This window comes from Homo sapiens, chromosome 16, assembly GCF_000001405.40.
Source record: "Homo sapiens chromosome 16, GRCh38.p14 Primary Assembly".
Classification (NCBI taxonomy): Eukaryota; Metazoa; Chordata; class Mammalia; order Primates; family Hominidae; genus Homo; species Homo sapiens.
In genome coordinates, this window is record NC_000016.10 from 86,243,727 (window position 1) to 86,268,098 (window position 24,372).

General features: G+C 45.2%; 1 long non-coding RNA gene across 1 annotated transcript in view, besides 1 other annotated feature; it reads right to left on the reverse strand.

Annotated features, from left to right (window-relative positions):
• The window catches only part of LINC01081 (long intergenic non-protein coding RNA 1081), a 60,668-nt gene that overhangs the window by 18,147 nt on the left and 18,149 nt on the right, over positions 1 to 24,372 (reverse strand). The gene's annotated exons all lie outside the window — the stretch shown is intronic.
• Positions 18,659 to 19,218: an enhancer, noted in NCBI's record as "NANOG-H3K27ac-H3K4me1 hESC enhancer chr16:86295991-86296550 (GRCh37/hg19 assembly coordinates)". NCBI's record gives its function as "activates a minimal SCP1, AML or CMV promoter by ChIP-STARR-seq in naive H9 embryonic stem cells {active_cell/tissue: H9 hESC(naive)}" and the evidence as "EXISTENCE:reporter gene assay evidence [ECO:0000049][PMID:30033119]".

Consider the following 24,372-nt stretch of genomic DNA (forward strand, 5'->3'; position numbering starts at 1 on the left):
TTCCCAGGCCCTGGGGAGCCCCAGGTTCCTGAGGAGGCACGGGCTCAGAGGGCACCTGGCTGAGAGTGTGAGCCCCACAGAACCAGCTTTCCGCAGCCACTGCCTGCTGGGCTGGGGATGGCAGGCGAGTGCCTGGTGTTTCAGGATTCTCATCTTTCTCGAAAACTGTAAGGGCACCATCGCCCATCTGGACCTGACGCACATTGCCGAATAACTAGGCTGCTGCCCTGCCCACTGTCCTTGAAAGCCACTTAACATATGTTCTGATTCTGCTGCCTGGCAGGCAGCTTTCCGTCCAGTGGCTGGCACCAGCCCTGAGAGATGTGCCTCTCTCCATCACCCAGAGGCTCCGGGCAGCCAGGCTGGAAGAAAACAGGAGGAGCCAGAACCACGAGCTTGGAGACCATTATCTTGTCACTGTCGGAGCCACAGACTTATGAATGGCCCCTGTCCTGGAGTGGAGCTGGCCACCCTGGAGCTTCAGAGGTACTCTCTGGTGAGAGGTTTACAGACCAGCCGCAAAATAAATCGCTCCCTTACCCGGCCTCTGGAGAGCCAAAACTCCCCACAGAGACAGTCATTGCATTGGTTTCTTTGTTAAAATAAAAATGCCCCAAGCATCCGCCCATGGAATTGTGTTCCCCACTGGGGAAGGAAGGCGGCTGTGAGGAAGGCAGCTGGCACGGGAGCAGAGACGTCATGGGGGTGACGGGCAATAACTTTATCCACCACTGGCTCACTGGGGACTTCAGAACAGTCCGCAAATACTAGCTGAGCTCCTACCACATGCCAAGGAGTGTCCTAATCCTCAGGGCTGCAGGTACAAATAGCACAGAGTTCCTAACTCAGGAAGCACACAGTATAACTGGGGTGGGGGCCAGAAAATAAACAAAAAAAGCCAGGCATGCCAGGTCGTGGTGGGAGCTGAGATGAAAATGAAAGGAGATGGGGAGGGGAGTACGTGGGGAGGGGTGGGCTACAGGGGCCATCCCAGCCAAGTAGGAGCCGGCCATGTGGAGATTTGGGGGAAGAACATTCCAGAAAGAGGGAATGGCTAGTGCCAAGTACAAGTGAGCTTGATGAGCTTGGGGAATAGACAGAAGGCCCACATGGCTGGAGTTGTCATTATTGGGAGGGATGGGGAGAAGCAGGAGACATGGCCAGAGGGGCAGGTGGAGGTAGACGGTGAACCATGAGCTTGATGACAATTATCTTGTCACTGCCAGAGCCACAGACTGACCTACATTTTTACAGGGTCACCACAATGAAGGGTTGAGAAAAGGCTGAGGGGGCTGCAGGTGGGTGGAGGACAGGAGGCTAGAGAGGAGACCTGTACAGCTGCTGGACATGGCATGGTGACGATGTGGATTAAGGTGGTCTCTGCTGCATGACACATTTCAATACACATAGCAGCTGGCAAAAACAGTCAGGCATCTGGGCCCAGCTCAGTTGCGGCCTCTGCAGGGCTTTGATTAACATATTGGCTGGGGCTGGTCTCATCTGAACGCCTGAGTGGGGAAACATCCAGTTTCTTGCTTGCTCAGGCTTTTGCAAGACTTCAGGTCTGTAGGGCTGTTGGACTGAAAGCTACAGTTTTGGAGTGCTTCATTTCATTTTGTTTCATTTGTTAGCCATCAGCTGGAGGCTGCCTTCCACAACTAGAGGTCAACTACAGTTCCCCACCATACAGGGCTCAGCAGTGTGCCCAGCTTCTTCACAGCCAGCATGGTGGGTGGATTCCAGCCGACTGAGGGCCACAGCCTTAGGCAGCGCCACCCCATAACCACGTGTATGGAACCAGACACGTCTGTCACCTTTGCCAGACCCTATGGATCAGAAGCAGTCACAGGCCCTGGCTGCTCTCAGGGAAGGGGTTCCCACAGGGTGTGCACACCAGGGTGTGGGGTCCTGGGTCCGCCTACGGGTCTGTCTACCATGGTGGTGTCCATGGGTATGCTGAACAGTGGACGCTTCTGCTGTGTAAGTTTAATTTCCTCCCAGAAGCAGCACATTATCATCCCCCATTTAATACACGAGGGTTAAAGTTTTGTCCTATATGTGGCAAATGATGATTAACTTTTCTTCGTTAAATCCATAAAGTACCAGGAGGAGGACAGACAGATAGAAGCCAGGCAGAGAGGGTTTGAAGGGAAGTTGAAGGGAGCCCCAGGAGGAACCTGGAACTCACACATCACAAGGGGTGATATCATCACTCCTAGGTTCCACCCCTGCACAGCAAAGAAGCCCAAAGCTTGCTGGCTTACAACACTGATGTTTCCTTTACTTGTTCCTCCACTGATGGCATCTACTGGGCAGGCTCAAAGGCTGGGGCTGGGTCCCCCATACAGCTGTGCACTGACACACAAGCGTGGCCGGGACCACAGCAGGGGCTGTGGCCAGAGGACGTGTGGCCTCTTGTGTGGCCTGGTTCCTGTACATGGTGACTGGGCTCTAACGGTGGGCACCTAAGACAGACAGGGCGAGGCAGGAGCTGCATCACATTTATACTCCATCCTGGAAACCACACTGGCTCATTTCTACCTCATTGTATGCACCGGAGCAAGTCAATGTCCACAGGGAAGGAGACCAGCAACCACCTTTAGAAGGGAGAAGAGTCACAGGGTAAGCAGCCATGTTTCAGGTAAAACCGCCACACCGTCTGGAAACATGCTGATTCCAAGCAGGCCACAGGTGAGGGCTTTCGTGACATCTGGGTGACTATTTGTAACCTTGATGATTGATCAAAGGAGAAAAGGCAGGCTCCTCTTCTTGGCTCCCAGGGGTATCTCGCCCTGAGATTGCCTGGGGACCACAGTTAGTTCATCTGTGAAATGGGGCAATAACCTCTCTTTCTACTTATTTTGGAAGACATCTTAGAAAAATATCAAGTGTCGTGGCAGATGTAAGCCACATGACTGTTGCCTGAGATGGGGAAAGCAGGTAGGGGGCAGCTGGCTCAAAGCCCTGGGAGTTCCCAGAACACACGAGATGGACCCAGTTCCCATCAGCCCCCCATAGTGCCACAGAGACCCAATGCCTCCATGGCTGACAATCCCCCACAGGCTCCTGTCCTGCCACAGAGCCCCTTGGGAGGGAGCGGGCACCCTTCACACCTAACCACGGCTGTTCCAACACAGCCACTCCAATTTTAAGATATTCCCGACAACAAATCTCACTCGTATGCACTGTACACCTACATGTGCCAAGCACCGTTGCAGATCTTGGCAGCACCGCGCCACATTCCCTTCCTCACGGAGCTCAAGCTCAAGACCCGGAAGCTTCCAGGAACCCATGAGCCACTTGGGAGGTAACTCCTTTAGGAAACTTGACAGTATCGCTTCATTTTTCACCTGGATATTCTCACACTCTGTGGGGAGGCTAAATGGTAGAAACATGTCTATTTGGGGTGAGGTAAAAGCTTTAGGGATAGATGGTGGTGATGGTTGCATAATATTGTGAAGGCAATTAACACCACCATTTAGGTACACCTAAAATGGTTACCATATTAAGTTTTACGTTATACATATTTTACCACAGTTCTTAGAAAGTGAATAATGTGACACACCGCAGATCATTAAATGTCATGCTTTAAATGAGTGACTTGCACGGTATCTGAATTTATATCTCAATAAAGCTGCTTAAAAATAAATCAATAAAATTTTAAAAAGCTACTTTGAAAACATTTTAAAAAATTATAGCCCAGAATGGTAAGATTAAACTCTATCAACCATCAGGGACGTTTCCGAAATGCATGGTGTGCTCTTAATGACTAATTATTGTTCTGTTAACCAAGGCTTTGCTCAACAGAAAATCAAAGGTACACCAGGGAATGAGCCAAGCTCAGAATCTCACAGGAGAAACTTCTGGCCAATTGATTCACAATCAATTTTATCTCCACAGACATGCAGGAAGCTCAGACAGGCTGTAGAAATCAACTGGCCTCGAAAGTAACCCAATATCCCACGGTCTGTGTCCCTCCATCCTCCCTCCTCCCTTTGTCCTGGTTAATATAACTTGATACTTCATAATCCTGGAACTTACACGTGCCTCTGCAAAGGTGAAAATCCCCACAGTAGAGACACTTCGTCCAGCAGATATATGATCCCATTTGCCTATTAAATGCAAATATCCAAGTGGGCTGTTGGTTCAACCAACTACTCAAACAAATTGAGCCTAGATCCCAACAAAGGTGAATTGTGCAAAAATCAAAATGAGCCCTGGGTGGGATCAGCTTCAACACCACGAGAGGGAAATGGAGATGGGAAAGGAGCCGGGGTCAGTTCCCCCAAAAGGAGCCATGTGGTCTTGGTTTGGTTTTAATTAACTTTAGGAACACATTTTTTTCTTTGGCTGGCCTGTGCGAAGGTAGAATTGCGTGGCAACTGGCATTTCATGTAATTGGCACTGATGGTCACTGAACCCACAGGGCTGAGATCGACACCCCGAGTGCTGCTGATTTCGGTGAAATTGAACAACGTGCATGTGACCGCAAACCCAGCTGAAATGTGAATGCCCCGGAATGGGCTGGTTTGCAGCCTGAGAAGAATAGACTTCACTGTGCTCCAAATCAGGACGCAGTCCAAACCCGATCTGGATGTCCCACTGCCCGTGTAGGGGTCTGGGATACAGATCCTGAGGCTGAGGACACTCAATAGCCTCCCCTCCCCCATCTCCAGCCACCATCCAGCTGATGGGGGCCCCTGGCAGCCACCCAGGTCACTGTGTGTCCCAGGGTTAAGGGCTCTGGGGTTGGGCAGAGGGGGACCCAGCTGAAGGACAATGCATTTACTGACACCATCTAGGTAACTGATTAAACAGTCCTTGTGAGTAGACCTGGGCCTGGCCAATGCCCCCTGCAAGGTGCCCACCTGGGCCCCCAAGTGAGTCAGTGTGCACCAGGCCTGTCTCCTAGTAGACACGAGGCATGTTTATTATCAGTGATAATAACCCTAATGACACATTCGAAGGACCTGGGACTGCAGATGTGATGAATTTGACCGGGTTTCATTTCTCTCTGGCATTTAGAAAAGAGGAACCTCCCTTTATGCCCCTACTGTGAATGTCCACGTCCAAACCAACACACAAGCCAATACACGGCCACTACACTGCACAAACTTCATTTATGTGAGATCATCGGCCATGAGACCCTGTGGGCGCTCAGAGGAAGGGGGCTGATGCAGATGAAGAGGTCAAGAGACACTTCTGGAGGAGGTGATACCGGGGCAGAATCCTCAAGGAAGCATAGGAACCCTTCAAGACCAGGGATGGGGGTCCAGCCAGAAGGATCATGTGTGCAAAGGTGGGAAACCGCCAGGAGTCTCATGGAAATTCCATTTCCCAGGGTGATGTCCACACAGTTGGCAGGAGGCTGAAAGGGCCAGTCGGGAGTTGAGGGGAGCCCCGGAGGGCTTTTGAAGGTTGGTGCCTGATATGGTTTGGCTGTGTCCCCACCCAAATCTCATCTTAAATTGTAGCTCCCGTAATTCCCAAGTGTTACACGAGGGACCTGGTGGGAGATAATTGAATCAGGAGGGCGGTTTCCCCCCCATACTGTTCTCATGGTAGTAAATAAATCTCACGAGATCTGATGACTTTACAAGGGGTTTCCCCTTCCGCTTGGCTCTCATTCTCTCTTGCCTGCTGCTATGTAAGACGTGCCTTTCACCTTCCACCATGATTGTGAGGCCTCCCCAGCCACATGGAACGGTGAGTCCATTAAACCTCTTTTTCTTTATGAATGACCCAGTCTCTGGTATGTCGTTATCAGCAGCATGAAAAGGGACGGTGCCATGCCTGGGTGTGGGTGTTAGAAATCTTGGTCTCTTGGCCTCTGGAAGGTGAACTGGAAAGGGAGTGAGGCTGTGGCAGGAGACCAGGCTAGAAGTTATGACAATAAATCAGACACAAAGCAATGAAGCGTTGAGACCAATGGTGGCAATGGTGATGAGGGCGATGGTAGCAGTGGCGATGAGCATCACAGGGTAGATGCAATGTGGACTTAGGAAGACATACAGGATGTGACCTTCCATGACCCTCCCGGGCCATCCCTCCATTTTCCACCCTCTCTCTGCCCTGGGGTCAGGGAGCAATCCTCTGGGTCCTCTCCCCTCTGCTTCCAGTTGAGCTCAGCCACTGGGGAGCACAGACGATCTATGGGAGGTGGGACAGGGAGGCTGCCATTGGGAATATTTACTCTTCTCCCTCCTGGGAGGTCCTCCTTGGGAGATCATCTCAGGCTGCCATGTTCCTCAACCAAAGTCCACCACTTCTCTCATGGTGGCCACTTCTCCACGATTTTCTCTCCTTCTGAGTCCTGCTCCCCTCTCTTCCCTTGACCCCAGGACCTAGGAGTGGTAACAGCTACAATGCTACTGGCCCCGGTTTCTTGCTTCACCCCTCAGGCCTCCCTTATACCCATCTCCACCTGTATGGTAAGTCTCTCGGCAAACTCATCCTCCCAGAATTCTCCTAATTGAGTGGTTCATCTCCTTCCTATTGGGAGCCCAACTGAGAACAAACTTCACATTCACTTCTCAGAAGTCTTGAGTCATTTTACAGATATGTACTGTGTTTCTAGAAGTGTGTTCCAGGTACTGTGCAGGGAGCAATCCTGGTAGTGTCTCTGTTCCCATGAGGTCCTGCCCTGTCTCTATGGTCCAGGGCAGCATCTGGGGCCTTGGTAAATGTGGAGATTCATGAGCCCTGCCCTAGCCCCAGAGAATCGCAAACTCTGGGGAAAGGACCCCAGAGTCTGCAATTTTTAACAGAATTCTCAGGGGTTCTCAATAGGCCAAGCTCAAAGCTGCCAGTGCAGTGGCTCATGATGCTTTGTAACACCTTACACTAAGCAGAAGAGGGACCTGCCTGGCAAGCACAGCACTGGCATCATGGACACAGTCTGCCCAACTGGTCAGCAACCAGTAGAGTGCCCAGTGTCCAAGCCATCCGCATCAGAGGTTAAGGATTTAGAAGATCACTCCTGAATTCTTTTTTTTTTTTTTTTTGAGACGGAGTCTCGCTCTGTCGCCCAGGCTGGAGTGCAGTGGCGTGATCTCGGCTCACTGCAAGCTCCGCCTCCCGGGTTCACGCCATTCTCCTGCCTCAGCCTCCCGAGTAGCTGGGACTACAGGCGCCCGCTACCACGCCCGGCTAATTTTTTGTATTTTTAGTAGAGACGGGGTTTCACCGTGTTAGCCAGAATGGTCTCGATCTCCTGACCTCGTGATCCGCCCGCCTCGGCCTCCCAAAGTGCTGGGATTACAGGCGTGAGCCACCGCGCCCGGCCTCCTGAATTCTTAAGAACTAGCTGATGTGTTCATTTTTCTCCACTTATAATTTTCTGCTCTTTGCAATGTATCGCCAATCCCTCCATATTGTAACAACACAATAATAATTTCAAAACCAGTAATCTGTTATGCATATGCTTACAGTGTGACTGCTCCCTCCCTCCCCTGCTCTCTCTCCCTCCTCTATCTTCCTCCCTCTCCTTTTCTCTCTCTCCCTATATTAGCTGTAGCAAGTCCCGCTTTATAAAAAATCTATATATTTCTTAAAAAACATAAGTTGGTAGCAATTACTTATTTCATTTGAAAATTGCATTGCTTTTCCTTAACAAGGTCCCTGGCATAGTGACAGCATGATTTAGTGGACAAGAAAAGCAGGAGGCACAACTAGAAAGGATTCATCCGTGTTTTGAAATGAAGCAGAGCTGTGTTTCTCATCTGGAGACCTGCTCATCTGGGTGCCCCTTACTCTGACTCCAATGAAGGTTCCTGACTCTGTCGCTGGGGTTTCCCATCCATCCAAGATTTACTGAGCCCTGTGCTGTCTTCGTGGGGCCGTGATGGTAAAGAGAACCCCATTCCCCCACCTGTGGGGGACGTTTAGTCTCATACCTCTTTACTCTTCATGAATACATGCATTTTTTTTCTCCCTGAGTTTTGAGATGTTTAAAAATTCCTTTATCTTACTTCTTGAATGCAGCATTCAATACATTGCAATAGGTAAAATGTTACCGCCGTCGATCGTGAATTCCATTGCACAATATAAAAGCCCTCATTTGCTTTCCTTTTGGATTGGATTTCGAAATGGGTCAAATGTTTACAGAAATGGCCCAAACTGTACAAATAAACTGTAGCTCTAGTGAGGGAGGCAGTTTACATTACTCTCAGTCAGATGAATATGGAAGCTGCAGCCTGTCCTTTGAAAACCACTTCAAGCACTGTGCGTGTGAGTTCTGTGCCCCGTCTGGGATCCCTCAATTCCATCAAAAAGCTTCGGGAAAGGCATGGCGATCCTATAAATCCACACATCCATCCACACCCAGCTGGGTGGCTCTTGTCCTCCACTAGGTCAAACAAACAGGGGTTTTCACCCAGGCATCCTGCAATGCCCACATGGCGTGGACCTTCCCCAAGCTCCCTTCCCTTGAGGTCACCTGCACTGCTCACTCGGAGCTGCCATTGTTCACCCGAAGCACCTGGAGAGCAGGAACTGGGCCTTGCTCTCTCATATTTGGCACATGTGGCCTGGAGCCTTTGCACATAGTTGATCTTCACTTGTTTGCTAATCCAATCCCCTATTTTACAGACGGGGAAACAGAGGCACTGAAAGTCCTGCGTGCCTTGTGTAAGTAGATGTGGGCCCTATCACCTGAGTTTCAGAACAATGCCTGTGCTGGTTATAAAGCTCTTGTCTCTCAGCTCCAGAACCATCTGCAGTGGGAATTAGAATGGGCCCCAATTCAGTATTGGGGAATACTGGAGTCCTTAAAAGAAGAAGAGATGCACAGGGAGGGGACAGGCCACAAGAGGATGGAGACAGAGATTGGAGCACTGCAGCCGCAAGACAAGGACAGCCTGGAGCCACCAGGAGCTGGAAGAGGCAGGAAGGATTCTCCCCTAGAGCACTCAGAGGGAGCTGACACATTGACTTTGGACTTCTGGCCTCTAGAATGTGGGGGAATACGTTTCTGTTGCTGTGAGTCACCCAGGTCATGGTATTTTGTTACGGCAGTCCCCGGGCCCTCATACACTGTCCTTCTGTTCTTTGCATAGTGATGCTCCAGTGGGGCTGGGCAACCCCACTTCACCATTGCCAGCTGCTCCCTGTTTGGTTACACAAATAGGGGGCGCTAGAGGGCAACGCAGGAGAAGGCAGGAGAGCCGAGCTCCTTCCCCTCCCATCAGCATCCCAGCATCAATGGGTTTCACCTTGTCAGAAGCAGCTGGTTCCACTTTCCAGAATCTCTTCCCCCATCCATGCTGCACCCCTCCACCCCCACCCTTCAGAGACGCCAGCCTCAGCTGCTTAGCTTTGTTTCCTCGAGGGTCTGGGTCTTACCTCCATAGGACCCCTCCTCCAAGCTCCCAAATTCTCCTAACCTCAACCTCTTCCCTTTGTCGTCCTAGCCCTGGAGGTGTTAGCTGAGTCCATCTGTAATTCTTGCCTCTGCAGTATCTTAAAGTTCCCTTTTGCCTCTTTTCAGTGTTCCAATAACTAGATTTTAAAACATATTTATATTAAATTCTCTGTGTTAAAATAACTGATATGTTTAATGAGTATCGAGCTTCAGTTTGGGAAGATGAAAAAGCTATAGCGATGAATAATGGTGATGGGTGCACAATAATGTGAATGTACTTAATGCCACCAAATTGTAGTTAAAAATGGTGAAAATAGTAAATTTTTTTTTTTTTTCTTTTTTTTTTTTTTTGAGATGGAGTCTCACTCTGTCGCCCAGGCTGGAGTGCAATGGAGCAATCTCTGGTCATGTCAACCTCCGCCTCCCGGGTTCAAGCGATTCTCCTGCCTCAGCCTCCCAAGTAGCTGGGATTACAGGCATGTGCCACCACGCCTGGCTAATTTTTTTATCTTTAGTCGAGACTGGGTTTCACCACATTGGCCAGACTGGTCTCAAACTCCTGACCTCAGGTGATCTGCCCATCTTGGCCTCCCAAGGAGCTTGGATTACAGGCATGAGCCACCACGCCCAGCCAGAAAATAGCAAATTTTATGTGATGACGACTTTTACCCCTCAGCCCCGTCCCCCAACACAAGGCTGGTGTTGTTTCTATTTTCCTGACTGATGTACATTATTTAAATAGTGAGGATGAAATAAACACTCCTTATGATGATAATGACAGCTATCACTTTGAACCTTTCCCATGTGCTAACCTGTACTAAGTATTTAATCATCATAATATTTTACTAACTATTCTATGGTGTCTATTTTAGTGATGGAGAAGCTGAGCCTCAAAGTGGTTATGTTGCTTGGTATTAAAGATAGCAAAGGGTAGAAATCAAATTTATTGGACTGATTTTTAACAAAATTTATTTTTTATTTTTAGACAGGGTCTAGCTCTGTCGAGTGCAGTCGCACGATCATGATTCACTGCAGTCTCAACCTCCTGAGCTCAAAAGATCCTTCCACCTCAGCCACCCAAGTAGCTGGGACTATAGGCATGTGCCACCATGCCTGGCTAATTTTTTTTTTTTTTTTTTTTTTTTTTAGAAACGGGGTTTTGCCATGTTGCCTACCCTGGTAAAGCATTCCTCCCTCCTCAGCCTCCCGGTGCTGGGATTACAGGCATGAGCCACCACACCCAGCCTGGACTGATCTTCTTATCGTTATGTGATATACATATTTGTCTTTAGTAATTTCCTTTGTTCTAAAGTTGACTTTACCTGATATTAATATAGCCTCTTCTTTTTAAAATTAATATTTGCATGATATATCTTTTCCCATCTTTTTATTGTTAACCTCTGTCGTTATGTTGCAAGTGATTTCTTTCTTTTTTTTTTTTTTTTTGAGACAGAGTCTTGCTCTGTTGCCCAGGCTGGAGTGCAATGGCACAATCTTGGCTCACTGTAACCTCCACCTCCCGAGTTCAAGCGATTCTCCTGCCTCAGCCTCCCGAGTAGCTGGGATTACAGGCACCTGCTACCACACCCAGTTAATTTTTGTATTTTTAGTAGGGATGGGGTTTCACCATGTTGGTCAGGCTGGTGCAAGTGAGTTTCTTATAAAAAGCATATCGTTAGGTGGTGAGGTTTTTAAAAATCCTTCTGCCAATCTTTGTTTTTTCATTATTTTACTTCAAATATTTAAAGTAATTATTGATATAGCTTAAGTCTGCCATTTTCTTGTTTTCTGTTTGTTATATCTGTTTCTAATTCCTGTTTCTTTCTTTTTGCCATAAACATTTTTTGAGTTCCATTTTTATTTACTTAAAAATGTTTTTTAGCTTATGACTTTTTTATTTTTATTAGTGGCTGCTTCAGATACTATATCAACTAACTTATTAAAGTCTATTAGTATTGAGGTTTTACCGCTTTGAGTGAAGTTTAGAAAACTTACTTCCATTTGGGTCCCCTTATGCTCCCCACTTTTAAGATAAAATTGTCTTAGCTACTTCCTGTATATACATTGAATACCACCTCAGATAGTGCTATGATTTTTGCTTTAACTATCAAATAAGATTTAAGAAAGTCAAGAAGAGAAGTAATATCTGTTATATTTACTCCTACGTTTATCCATTCTTCTTTCCCTTCTTAAGTTCCTTAGACAACTTCCCAAAGTCATTTTTTAAGAGTGAGCCTGTTGAGAGATGGATTCTCTCAGTTTTTCTTCACCTGAGAATCTATTTCCCCTTCAATTTGGAAGGATATTTTTACTGGATATAAAATTTGTGGTTGACACTTCTTTTCTCTCAATCACTTGAAAAATATTGTGCTACTCTTTTCTGTCCTCTCTGGTTTCAGATAAAAAATCCACAGGCAATTGAATTGATGTTCTCCAACAGGTAAAATGTTATTTCTCTTTAGCTTCTTTCAAGATTTTTTACTTGTCTTTACTTTTCAGAAGTTTGCTTACAATGTGTCTTAGTGCAGATTTATCTGGGTTTACTCTGAGTTTTAGTCAGCTTCTTGAATCTCTTAGGGTTATGCCTTTCACCATATTTGGGAAATTTTCAGCCACTACTTTCTTATACATTTTTTCAGACCAACACGCTTTTTCTTCATTTTCTGACATTCTGACAATGTAAATATTAGATTTCTAAAATATTATACCACAGGTCCCTGGAGCTCTGTTTGTTGTTTTTTAAAATCTATTTTCTTTCTGTTGTTTAAATTGAATAATTTCTTTTGTTCTATCTTCAAGCAAACTCATTATTTCATCTGTCATATTTATTCTGCTGTTACACTCAACCAGTGTTTTTATTTTGGTTATTGTATTTTTCAGTTCTATAATTTCCTTTTGATTCTTTTTCATATCTTGCCCTTCTTTGTTGAGACTTTCTTTTTTTCAAGTATAGTCATGATTACTTGCTGAAGGATTTTTGTGATTGCTGTTTATAATCCTTGTCATATCATTCCAAATCATCTCATTTTTTGTGTTGGTGGTGGTCTTTTCTCTTTCAAGTTGTTATTGTCATGGTGCTTGTGATGATTAGCAGATTTTGTTTGGATCCTGGATCTTTGGGGGATTGTGTCATAAGACTAAGGACCCTGTTTAATTTTCTTTTTTATCAGGCAGTCACCATGTTCAGATGCATCCTGTAGATCCAGGGTAGGGGTGGTTGTTCACTGCTCCACTGGGCTCCATTGACCTATGCACTCTAAGTGGAGTGGTGATGACTCACACTAACTCACTGCATATGGGTGGGCTAGAAATTCACCCCCAACTCAGTACCACTGACACCAACTCACACTGCTTCATTGCTTCCAAATTGAGTAGTAAGCTCAGTTCCCTGCTGTACCCTCACTGATACTAGGGAGTGGGGGAAACAGAGTGCTGGCTAGCTCTGCCTCATTTGTCCTCATTCAGCCTTGTTGATGGGGTAGAGGCTCAGCTACCCATTGGGCCTCATTGTCAGCAGGGGGAGGGCAGGAGAAACTAGAGTGTGGACTAGCCCTTCCTCATTTTCATACCACTTCATTCAGCCTCATTGATGCTGGGCAGGATTCAAGGCTCAGCTCCTACTGTGCTTTGCTGATATATAGGGTGAAGTGAGGAGTGAGGAATGCCCACTAGCTCCACCTTACACTGTTGAATTCAGTCTATTTCCTTCCAGATGGGAATGGAGGTTTAGCTCGCCACTCAGCCCACCAATACCACCCCAACAGAGGAATCAGAGCATGCCTGCTTCTGCTGGATAGGAAATGAAAGGTTAGGTCACTGTTTGGCTCAGTTGACACCACTGGGTGGGAGACCTGGAAGGTTGTAGAGAAAGAAGGAGCGTTTCCGTTGGTTTTGGTTGGCTGGAGCATGGTGGCTATGGTCATCAAGGTTTTCAGTTCTGTTAATCCACACTTTTCCTGGTATGTTGACTGGAGAAAACAGGCTTTCTTAGGATGATTTTTTTGTCTGGGCCTGTTGATGGTTTGGGGCTCTGGGCTTCTCCAGCACCCTGTATGAGACAGATGGGACTCAATATGGAAACTCAGGAAACTTTGTGCTGAGTCATCCCTTAAGTCCCGAGATTCCTAAGCAGCCTGCCGTCTCCAATCCACATTTCAGAGTCTTTGCATGTTTGTTGTGCTATGTTCAGGGTTTTTAGTTATAAGAGGTAGGGATTGGAGGAATGGAGCTACTCCATCTTGGCAGGAACCAAGTCTCCTCAGAGGGAAAAGTCGAACTCAAGCCTATCCTACTTTCATAACCCCTGCCTTTTCAACCTTGCTTCCCCACCCAGCTGCCTCCATTATCTTTGCTGTAGGAACATTCGCCAACATGACCCTCAGTGTCAAATTCACAGCTGCACTTGGGACCTTCTAGCATAAGATATGTTGACCTTCTCCCCAGCCTTCCTCAGTTAATCATGGTTGAGAAGACTCACTGGGCCGCTAGTGTATTATCTCACATTCTTCTGGGGAATAACCTCCAAGTCTTTTCCCAACTGAAGGTTGACTCAAAGCGTGGGCCATCTAACCACTAACTCAGGAGGCCTCAGCAGCCATCTGACCCAAGGTTTCTTCACACGACACTTCACGTTCATTTTCCATTATTTAGTCCTCTCCTGAAGAGACACTCAGGAGAGAGGCATTTTAATCCCTCTTTGCTCTATGACTTCTTGGGTGGCCCAAGGAAAATAGATCAGCACATACTAAAAACCCTCAATCTCCTCATTCAGGAAGAGAACAAACATGTGGAAGAGAGTAGCTCCAGGCGCACCCAGGTCTCAAGAGGCCAGGAGGTAGCAGGAGAGGTAACAAGAGCCAAAGGTCAAGGTCACTTCTCTGGTGGCTTGCTATTTGGTAGTAAATTACAGAAATAGACGGTAACAGGCACAAGACGTCTCTTTCTGCCTGATTTTTCCATACAAAAGCTATATGTTCTGCAGAGAAATTGAGTGTTACATCAATGAATACAACTAAAAATTGATAAGAGCTCCCCAACCACCCCCATTTGTAATATGGAGATAATAACAGCACCCACCTCACAGCACTATTGTGGTTAGATGGCATCACGTGTATGAACTGATGTGCCTAGTGCCTGGCCTAGTAGTAAACTTCACATAATAATCATCCTTATATTTAGAATTACTGTTTCCTTAATCTTTTTTTTATTTTTATTTTTATTTTTTTTGAGACAGTCTCACTCTGTCACCCAGGCTGGAGTGCAGTGGTGCAATCTTGACTCACTGCAACCTCTGCCTCCAGGTTCAAGTGATTCTCTTGCCTTAGCCTCCTGAGTAGCTGGTATTAGAGGCATGCACCATGATGCCTGGCTAATTTTTGTATTTCTAATAGAGATGGAGTTTCCCCTTGTTGGCCAGACTGGTCTCGAACTCCTGACCTCAGGTGATCTGCCCGCCTCGGCCTCCCAAAGTGGTGGGATTACAGTCATGAGCCACCACGCCCGGCCCCTTAGTCTTTCATTCTACCAGTTTTCCTTTTGGTCATCCATCAAAGCTATTACAGAACAATTTTTTTCAAATACAGATGAGAGTCTTTGTACAGTTTCTTTCAGTTCTAAATCCCTATGACTTCAAATTCATTTTTCCACATTAAATTTGGGAAAAGGGGCAGCATTTGGAAAGTCCCATGGAAGACCAGAAACTGGAAGTTATAAAATCCTGAGCCATGACATCAGGATGTGGCAGCATTGTTTACACGAGGGATTGTCTCTTCCAGTAACCGAGGCCTCCCAGTCATCAACAATAGAGGCCAAAGGAGGTAAAATTATACAAATCTGGAAACCAAGACTTGATTTTCTCCTAGTTAGTATTTGAAATTGGGCTTAAGACATTGGTACAGCCAGGGAAATATTCAAAGCATCTTTTAGCTCACCCCTAAGGCAGCTTTGGATTTTGTCCGAGAATGGTCTGGTGTGAAAAGGAAGGAGGTTCTTAAGGACCTGAAAAATGCCTGAACTTAACTGAAGAAGTTGGAAATTTTTATGAACTGAAACTGTGCTTGTGATTATACAGCTTCCCTGAGGCCTCCTGTGAGTGGGGAATGCCAGTTCTATCCCTTTTAGTGATTGCACAGAAAGAGAAATATTTGGCTATTCACGTTCCTCTTCCATCGTGGCCACTTCCAAATCTCTGTATTCCATCTTGACTATCTCTTGGAAGTCTTGCTGCTATTGTATGTCACCACAATGGATGGATTCCACTATTTTTCCTCTACCAGCAAGAGGGCCTTTAACCCTGGTCCCATCATCTTCCTCTTCACCCCATCTCCAGCACCCATGGATAAGCCTTCCAATTTGTGGGCCTCCCAAGGACCTGGCCATCCCAATTCTGGTACTCTTTGCCTAGTATTTAAGTTTAGGTTGGGTTGCCTGTGTGTGATATGAGAGTGTGGAATCAACCTTTGTCTGGTCTAAGCCACTGTTAATTTGGGTCTCTGTTATTAAGCAGAAGCTTCTTCCTGAATATTACAAATGAGAGCCTGTTCCCTGCTAGCAAACAATAAGACCGAGAGAGGAAATGGCCGTGAGTTGACCTACGTGGGCAAGGGAACAGATGACTTCGCAGAATTCCAGTGTCCTCAAGCTTGGCATGCAAATGGTCACCACACCTGAAGGGCCAAATGGACAGGAAGAATGGGCATCTCAGTGCACATCAACTTCAAGGGCAGGTGGAATTCCCTCTGACACTTAGTGCCACATGAATCTAACAGCTCTCAGATATTACCCTAGCAAAGGTGAATGGAAGACCCCAGAAGTGATTGTGATTTAGTGAAACAGAAGCTCAAATTTGGGGTGAGGTTAAGTTATAAAAAAAATTAAGACATATTTAATGCACAACCAAAATTTGGACTAAGAAGGCAAGGCTTAGTGTCAGTATCCTCTTCCCTCTCACCCTCGCCCACAGTAATCACAGATGCCACCTTTATTCAGGTGAGTCCTATACCCCTCTTCTGTAGCTCCTCCTACACCCTCAGATTCCAGAGCTGCAAAACGTTTCACCGCAAAGGGATCTTCATTTTACAGAAGAAGAACCTGAGGATGGAGAGGGTCTGGAACTTGAAATTAAGCTGAGTTCCTACCCAGAGCTGTCACTGCTTCATCACTCACCTCTACAGCTCCATGGGGACTGAGGGATATTTACAGATGGGGGCAAAACTGGTCAAATGCACCCAGCTGAGTCAGGTGGTACAGGGCACCTTCTGAAATGTAGATAAATCTGTTTCAGGGAATTACTAAACTAGGGTGCTGGGAAGATTGCTTCATTCACTCAAGGGACATTGTTACCTTAGACAACTGGAGACTATAGGGCCCATGGCACACCCTACAGTCAATTACTCAATTATTTTGCTAATAGGTGATGTAGGTGAAAGTCAGTTATTTCTATGCAGACAAAGTGAGGGAGAGATTCAACAATTATGTAAAAAATCTCAGAATAAGCAACATCTTTGGATATGTTAAGGGGGAGCAAATGACCAACAACCATCCTTTTTCTGGATATCAATAAATGTAAGTTTAAATTACCCAGATGTTTGAATCTCTGTCTATGTGTGTATTATCTAGCCATCTATCCACCCACCCAACCATCCATCTAGCTAGCTAGCTCTATCTAGCTAGCAGCTCTGGAATCTGAGGATGTAGGAGGAGCTATCCAGCTATCTAATGTATCTATTATCTGTCTATCTATATCAATCTATCTATCTGTCTATCTATCTACCTATCTATCATCTCTATAAACCAGATGAAGCTCCTCCATCTCTGTCTTGCTAAAAACCAAAAACAAAAACAAATTTCCTTAAGTATCCCTCACAGAGGTGACTCCAACACCACCACGGAAACAAATCCTCATTAGTCCAAGCCAACCATGTAGGTCCACTCCCCCAATCAATGGTTTAGCAATGGCCATGTGACCTACTTCTGGCCAACGAGACATGGGACATGATTCTCTTATTGAATGAAGGTGATATAAGAGAAGGAGGTTTCCTTCTTGCTCCCTGTCCTGGAACTGCTGCAGCCGTTGTGACCAACCTGAGGATGGAGCCAAGAGTGAAGAGGTGGAAAGATGGAAAGAACATGGTTCCTTGATGATATTGTAGAATGCTGCAATCCACCAGAAACCTGAGCCAACTTGAGAACCCGCACCACTTCTGGACTTGCCTTGTATGACATTATACATTTCCTTATTGTTTAAGCTAACTGAGGCCAATCAGCCTAAGGCTTCTTAAGTGATGTCAGTGTACTGTGGAATAACCTAGTATTTCCAACATTTTAGTCATTCAGTTTCCACCTTTCAGATGCTTTCTTATCTATATACCTCCTGTGATAGATATTATTTGAGCTGATCAATATTTCTATTCTTTTCTGGACATATGAAAGACTTCATTTCCCAGTACTCTTTGCAGGTGACCTGGGCCACGTGACTAGTTCTGGCCAATGGGGTTTGTGGAAAGGTGATGTGTCACTTCCTGGTCAATGCTTCACTTCCTAGTCAAAGGATTTAATTGCTTATGAAAGAACTTCGGAGCCACTTTCCCTGTATTGTGGCAAACCTTGACACTTAATTCTGAGCTAGCACTCAAGATGAAGCTATCACTTCAAGATGGAAGCAGCCTAGAATGCTGTCTCCACACAGGAGTGATGACTTGGAGAGTTGACCAGACCCACACAGCAAAATAAACCTTCGTTGTGTTCAGTCACTAAAATGTTGGGGGATAACTGCAGAATAATACTACCCACTTTTAATCTCTGCTTTTACTCAGTGAACATTTCTCTTTAACTAACTGACATTTCTACTTAAATAAACTTAATAAACTTGATACAACTACTGTGAACAGAAAACCAATGTCTCTTAAAAATAAATAATACAAACAAAGCAATGTTGTTACATTCTTGCTAGATGTTGCCTCCTCCCTGAGATCACCTCACCTTGTTATGAAGGGAGACAGGTAAATAGAAGTGTGAAAGATATATTAGCTCCAAACCGAGACTTCATTCTGGAGTTAAACAGATGTATTGAAAAAGAATTGGGGAGGAGCCAAGATGGCCGAATAGGAAGAGCTCCAGTCTACAGCTCCCAGCGTGAGCGACGCAGAAGACGGGTGATTTCTGCATTTCCATCTGAGGTACCGGGTTCATCTCACTACGGAGTGCCAGACAGTGGGCGCAGGTCAGTGGGTGCGCGCACCGTGTGCGAGCCGAAGCAGGGCAAGGCATTGCCTCACTTGGGAAGCGCAAGGGGTCAGGGAGTTCCCTGTCTGAGTCAAAGAAAGGGGTGACAGATGGCACCTGGAAAATCGGGTCACTCCCACCCGAATACTGCGCTTTTCCGACGGGCTTAAAAAAAACGGCGCACCACGAGATTATATCCCGCACCTGGCTCGGAGGGTCCTACGCCCAGGGAGTCTCACTAATTGCTAGCACAGCAGTCTGACATCAAACTGCAAGGCAGCAGCGAGGCTGGGGGAGGGGCGCCCGCCATTGCCCAGGCTTGCTTAGGTAAACAAAGCAGCCGGGAAGCTCGAACTGGGTGGAGCCCACCACAGCTCAAGGAGGCCTGCCTGCCTCTGTAGGCTCCACCTCTGGGGGCAGGGCACAGACAAACAAAAAGACAGCAGTAACCTCTGCAGACTTAAATGTCCCTGTCTGACAGCTTTGAAGAGAGCAGTGGTTCTCCCAGCACACAGCTGGAGATCTGAGAACGGGCAGACTGCCTCCTCAAGTGGGTCCCTGACCCCTGACCCCCGAGCAGCCTAACTGGGAGGCACCCCCCAGCAGGGGCACACTGACACCTCACACGGCAGGGTACTCCAACAGACCTGCAGCTCAGGGTCCTCTCTGTTAGAAGGAAAACTAACAAACAGAAAGGACATCCACACCAAAAACCCATCTGTACATCACCATCATCAAAGACCAAAAGTAGATAAAACCACAAAGATGGGGAAAAAACAGAACAAAAAACTGGAAACTCTAAAAAGCAGAGTGCCTCTCCTCCTCCAAAGGGAGGCAGTTCCTCACCAGCAATGGAACAAAGCTGGATGGGGAATGACTTTGACAAGCTGAGAGAAGAAGGCTTCAGACGATCAAATTACTCTGAGCTACGGGAGGACATTCAAACCAAAGGCAAAGAAGTTGAAAACTTTGAAAAAAATTTAGAAGAATGTATAACTAGAATAACCAATACAGAGAAGTGCTTAAAGGAGCTGATGGAGCTGAAAACCAAGGCTCCAGAACTACGTGAAGAATGCAGAAGCCTCAGGAGCCGATGCGATCAACTGGAAGAAAGGGTATCAGCGATGGAAGACGAAATGAATGAAATGAAGCGAGAAGGGAAGTCTAGAGAAAAAAGAATTAAAAGAAATGAGCAAAGCCTCCAAGAAATATGGGACTATGTGAAAAGACCAAATCTACGTCTGATTGGTGTACCTGAAAGTGATGGGGAGAATGGAACCAAGTTGGAAAACACTCTGCAGGATATTATCCAGGAGAACTTCCCCAATCTAGCAAGGCAGGCCAACGTTCAGATTCAGGAAATACAGAGAATGCCACAACAATACTCCTTGAGAAGAGCAACTCCAAGACACGTAATTGTCAGATTCAGCAAAGTTGAAATGAGGAAAAAATGTTAAGGACAGCCAGAGAGAAAGGTCGGGTTACCCTCAAAGGGAAGCCCATCAGACTAACAGCGGATCTCTCGGCAGAAACCCTACAAGCCAGAAGAGAGTGGGGGCCAATATTCAACATTCTTGAAGAAAAGTGTTTTCAACCCAGAATTTCGTATCCAGCCAAACTAAGCTTCATAAGTGAAGGAGAAATAAAATACTTTACAGACAAGCAAATGCTGAGAGATTTTGTCACCACCAGGCCTGCCCTAAAAGAGCTCCTGAAGAAAGCGCTAAACATGGAAAGGAACAACCAGTACCAGCCGCTGCAAAATCATGCCAAAATGTAAAGACCATCGAGACTAGGAAGAAACTGCATCAACTAACGAGCAAAATCACCAGCTAACATCATAATGACAGGATCAAATTCACACATAACAATATTAACTTTAAATGTAAATGGACTAAATTCTCCAATTAAAAGATACAGACTGGCAAATTGGATAAAGAGTCAAGACCCATCAGTGTGCTGTATTCAAGAAACCCATCTCACGTGCAGAGACACACATAGGCTCAAAATAAAAGGATGGAGGAAGATCTACCAAGCAAATGGAAAACAAAAAAAGGCAGGGGTTGCAATCCTAGTCTCTGATAAAACAGACTTTAAACCAACAAAGATCAAAAGAGACAAAGAAGGCCATTACATAATGGTAAAGGGATCAATTCAACAAGAAGAGCTAACTATCCTAAATATATATGCACCCAACACAGGAGCACCCAGATTCCTAAAGCAAGTCCTGAGTGACCTACAAAGAGACTTAGACTCCCACACATTAATAATGGGAGACTTTAACACCCCACTGTCAACATTAGACAGATCAACGAGACAGACAGTCAACAAGGATACCCAGGAATTGAACCCAGCTCTGCACCAAGCGGACCTAATAGACATCTACAGAACTCTCCACCCCAAATCAACAGAATATACATTTTTTTCAGCACCACACCACACCTATTCCAAAATTGACCACATACTTGGAAGTAAAGCTCTCCTCAGCAAATGTAAAAGAACAGAGATTATAACAAACTATCTCTCAGACCACAGTGCAATCAAACTAGAACTCAGGATTAAGAATCTCACTCAAAACCACTCAACTACATGGAAACTCAACAACCTGCTCCTGAATTACTACTAGGTACATAACAAAATGAAGGCAGAAATAAAGATGTTCTTTGAAACCAACGAGAACAAAGACACAACATACCAGAATCTCTGGGACACATTCAAAGCAGTGTGCAGAGGGAAATTTATAGCACTAAATGCCCACAAGAGAAAGCAGGAAAGATCCAAAATTGACACCCTAACATCACAATTAAAAGAACTAGAAAAGCAAGAGCAAACACATTCAAAAGCTAGCAGAAGGCAAGAAATAACTAAAATCAGAGCAGAACTGAAGGAAATAGAGACACAAAAAAACCCTTCAAAAAATTAATGAATCCAGGAGCTGGTTTTTTGAAAGGATCAACAAAATTGGTAGACCGCTAGCAAGACTAATAAAGAAAAAAACAGAGAAGAATCAAATAGACGCAATAAAAAATGATAAAGGGGATATCACCACCGATCCCACAGAAATACAAACTACCATCAGAGAATACTACAAACACCTCTATGCAAATAAACTAGAAAATCTAGAAGAAATAGATAAATTCCTGGACACATACACTCTCCCAAGACTAAAGCAGGAAGAAGTTGAATCTCTGAATAGACCAATAACAGGAGCTGAAATTGTGGCAATAATCAATAGCTTACCAACCAAAAAGAGTCCAGGACCAGATGGATTCACAGCCGAATTCTACCAGAGGTACAAGGAGGAACTGGTACCATTCCTTCTGAAACTATTCCAATCAATAGAAAAAGAGGGAATCCTCCCTAACTCATGTTATGAGGCCAGCATCATTCTGATACCAAAGCCGGGCAGAGACACAACCAAAAAAGAGAATTTTAGACCAATATCCTTGATGAACACTGATGCAAAAATCCTCAATAAAATACTGGCAAACCGAATCCAGCAGCACATCAAAAAGCTTATCCACCATGATCAAGTGGGCTTCATCCCTGGGATGCAAGGCTGGTTCAATATACGCAAATCAATAAATGTAATCCAGCATATAAACAGAGCCAAAGACAAAAACCACATGATTATCTCAATAGATGCAGAAAAGGCCTTTGACAAAATTCAACAACCCTTCATGCTAAAAACTCTCAATAAATCAGGTATTGATGGGACATATTTCAAAATAATAAGAGCTATCTATGACAAACCCACAGCCAATATCATACTGAATGGGCAAAACCTGGAAGCATTCCCTTTGAAAACTGGCACAAGACAGGGATGCCCTCTCTCACCACTCCTATTCAACATAGTGTTGGAATTTCTGGCCAAGGCAATTAGGCAGGAGAAGGAAATAAATGGTATTCAATTAGGAAAAGAGGAAGTCAAATTGTCCCTGTTTGCAGATGACATGATTGTATATCTAGAAAACCCCATCGTCTCAGCCCAAAATCTCCTTAAGCTGATAAGCAACTTCAGCAAAGTCTCAGGATACAAAATCAATGTACAAAAATCACAAGCACTCTTATACACCAACAACAGACAAACAGAGAGCCAAATCATGAGTGAACTCCCATTCACAATTGCTTCAAAGAGAATAAAATACCTAGGAATCCAACTTACAAGGGATGTGAAGGACCTCTTCAAGGAGTACTACAAACCACTGCTCAAGGAAATAAAAGAGGATACAAACAAATGGAAGAACATTCCATGCTCATGGGTAGGAAGAATCAATATCGTGAAAATGGCCATACTGCCCAAGGTAATTTACAGATTCAATGCCATCCCCATCAAGCTACCAATGCCTTTCTTCACAGAATTGGAAAAAACTACTTTAAAGTTCATATGGAACCAAAAAAGAGCCTGCATCGCCAAGTCAATCCTAAGCCAAAAGAACAAAGCTGGAGGCATCACACTACCTGACTTCAAACTATACTACAAGGCTGCAGTAACCAAAACAGCATGGTACTGGTACCAAAACAGAGATATAGATCAATGGAACAGAACAGAGCCCTCAGAAATAACGCCACATATCTACAACTATCTGATCTTTGACAAACTGAGAAAAACAAACAATGGGGAAAGGATTCCCTGTTTAATAAATGGTGCTGGGAAAACTGGCTAGCCATATGTAGAAAGCTGAAACTGGATCCCTTCCTTACACTTTATACAAAAATCAATTCAAGATGGATTAAAGACTTAAACCTTAGACCTAAAACCATAAAAACCCTAGAAGAAAACCTAGGCATTACCATTCAGGACATAGGCATGGGCAAGGACTTCATGTCTAAAACACCAAAAGCAATGGCAACAAAAGACAAAATTGACAAATGGGATCTAATTAAACGAAAGAGCTTCTGCACAACAAAAGAAACTACCATCAGAGTGAACAGGCAACCTACAAAATGGGAGAAAATTTTTGCAACTTACTCATCTGACAAAGGGCTAATATTCAGAATCTACAATGAACTCCAACAAATTTACAAGAAAAAAACAAACAACCCCATCAAAAAGTGGGCAAAGGACATGAACAGACACTTCTCAAAAGAAGACATTTATGCAGCCAAAAAACAAATGAAAAAATGCTCATCATCACTGGCCATCAGAGAAATGCAAATCAAAACCACAATGAGATACCATCTCACACCAGTTAGAATGGCAATCATTAAAAAGTCAGGAAACAACAGGTGCTGGAGAGGATGTGGGGAAACAGGAACACTTTTACACTGTTGGTGGGACTGTAAACTAGTTCAACCATTGTGGAAGTCAGTGTGGCGATTCCTCAGGGATCTAGAACTAGAAATACCATTTGACCCAGCCATCCCATTACTGTGTATATACCCAAAGGACTATAAATCATGCTGCTATAAAGACACATGCACACTTATGTTTATTGCGGCATTATTCACAACAGCAAAGACTTGGAACCAACCCAAATGGCCAACAATGATAGACTCGATTAAGAAAATGTGGCACACATACACCATGGAATACTATGCAGCCATGAAAAAGGATGAGTTCATGTCCTTTGTAGGGACATGGATGAAATTGGAAACCATCATTCTCAGTAAACTATCACAAGAACAAAAAACCAAACACCGCATATTCTCACTCATAGGTGGGAATTGAACAATGAGATCACATGGACACAGAAAGGGGAATATCACACTCTGGGGACTGTGGTGGGGTTGGGGGAGGGGGGAGGGATAGCATTGGGAGGTATACCTAATGCTAGATGACGAGTTAC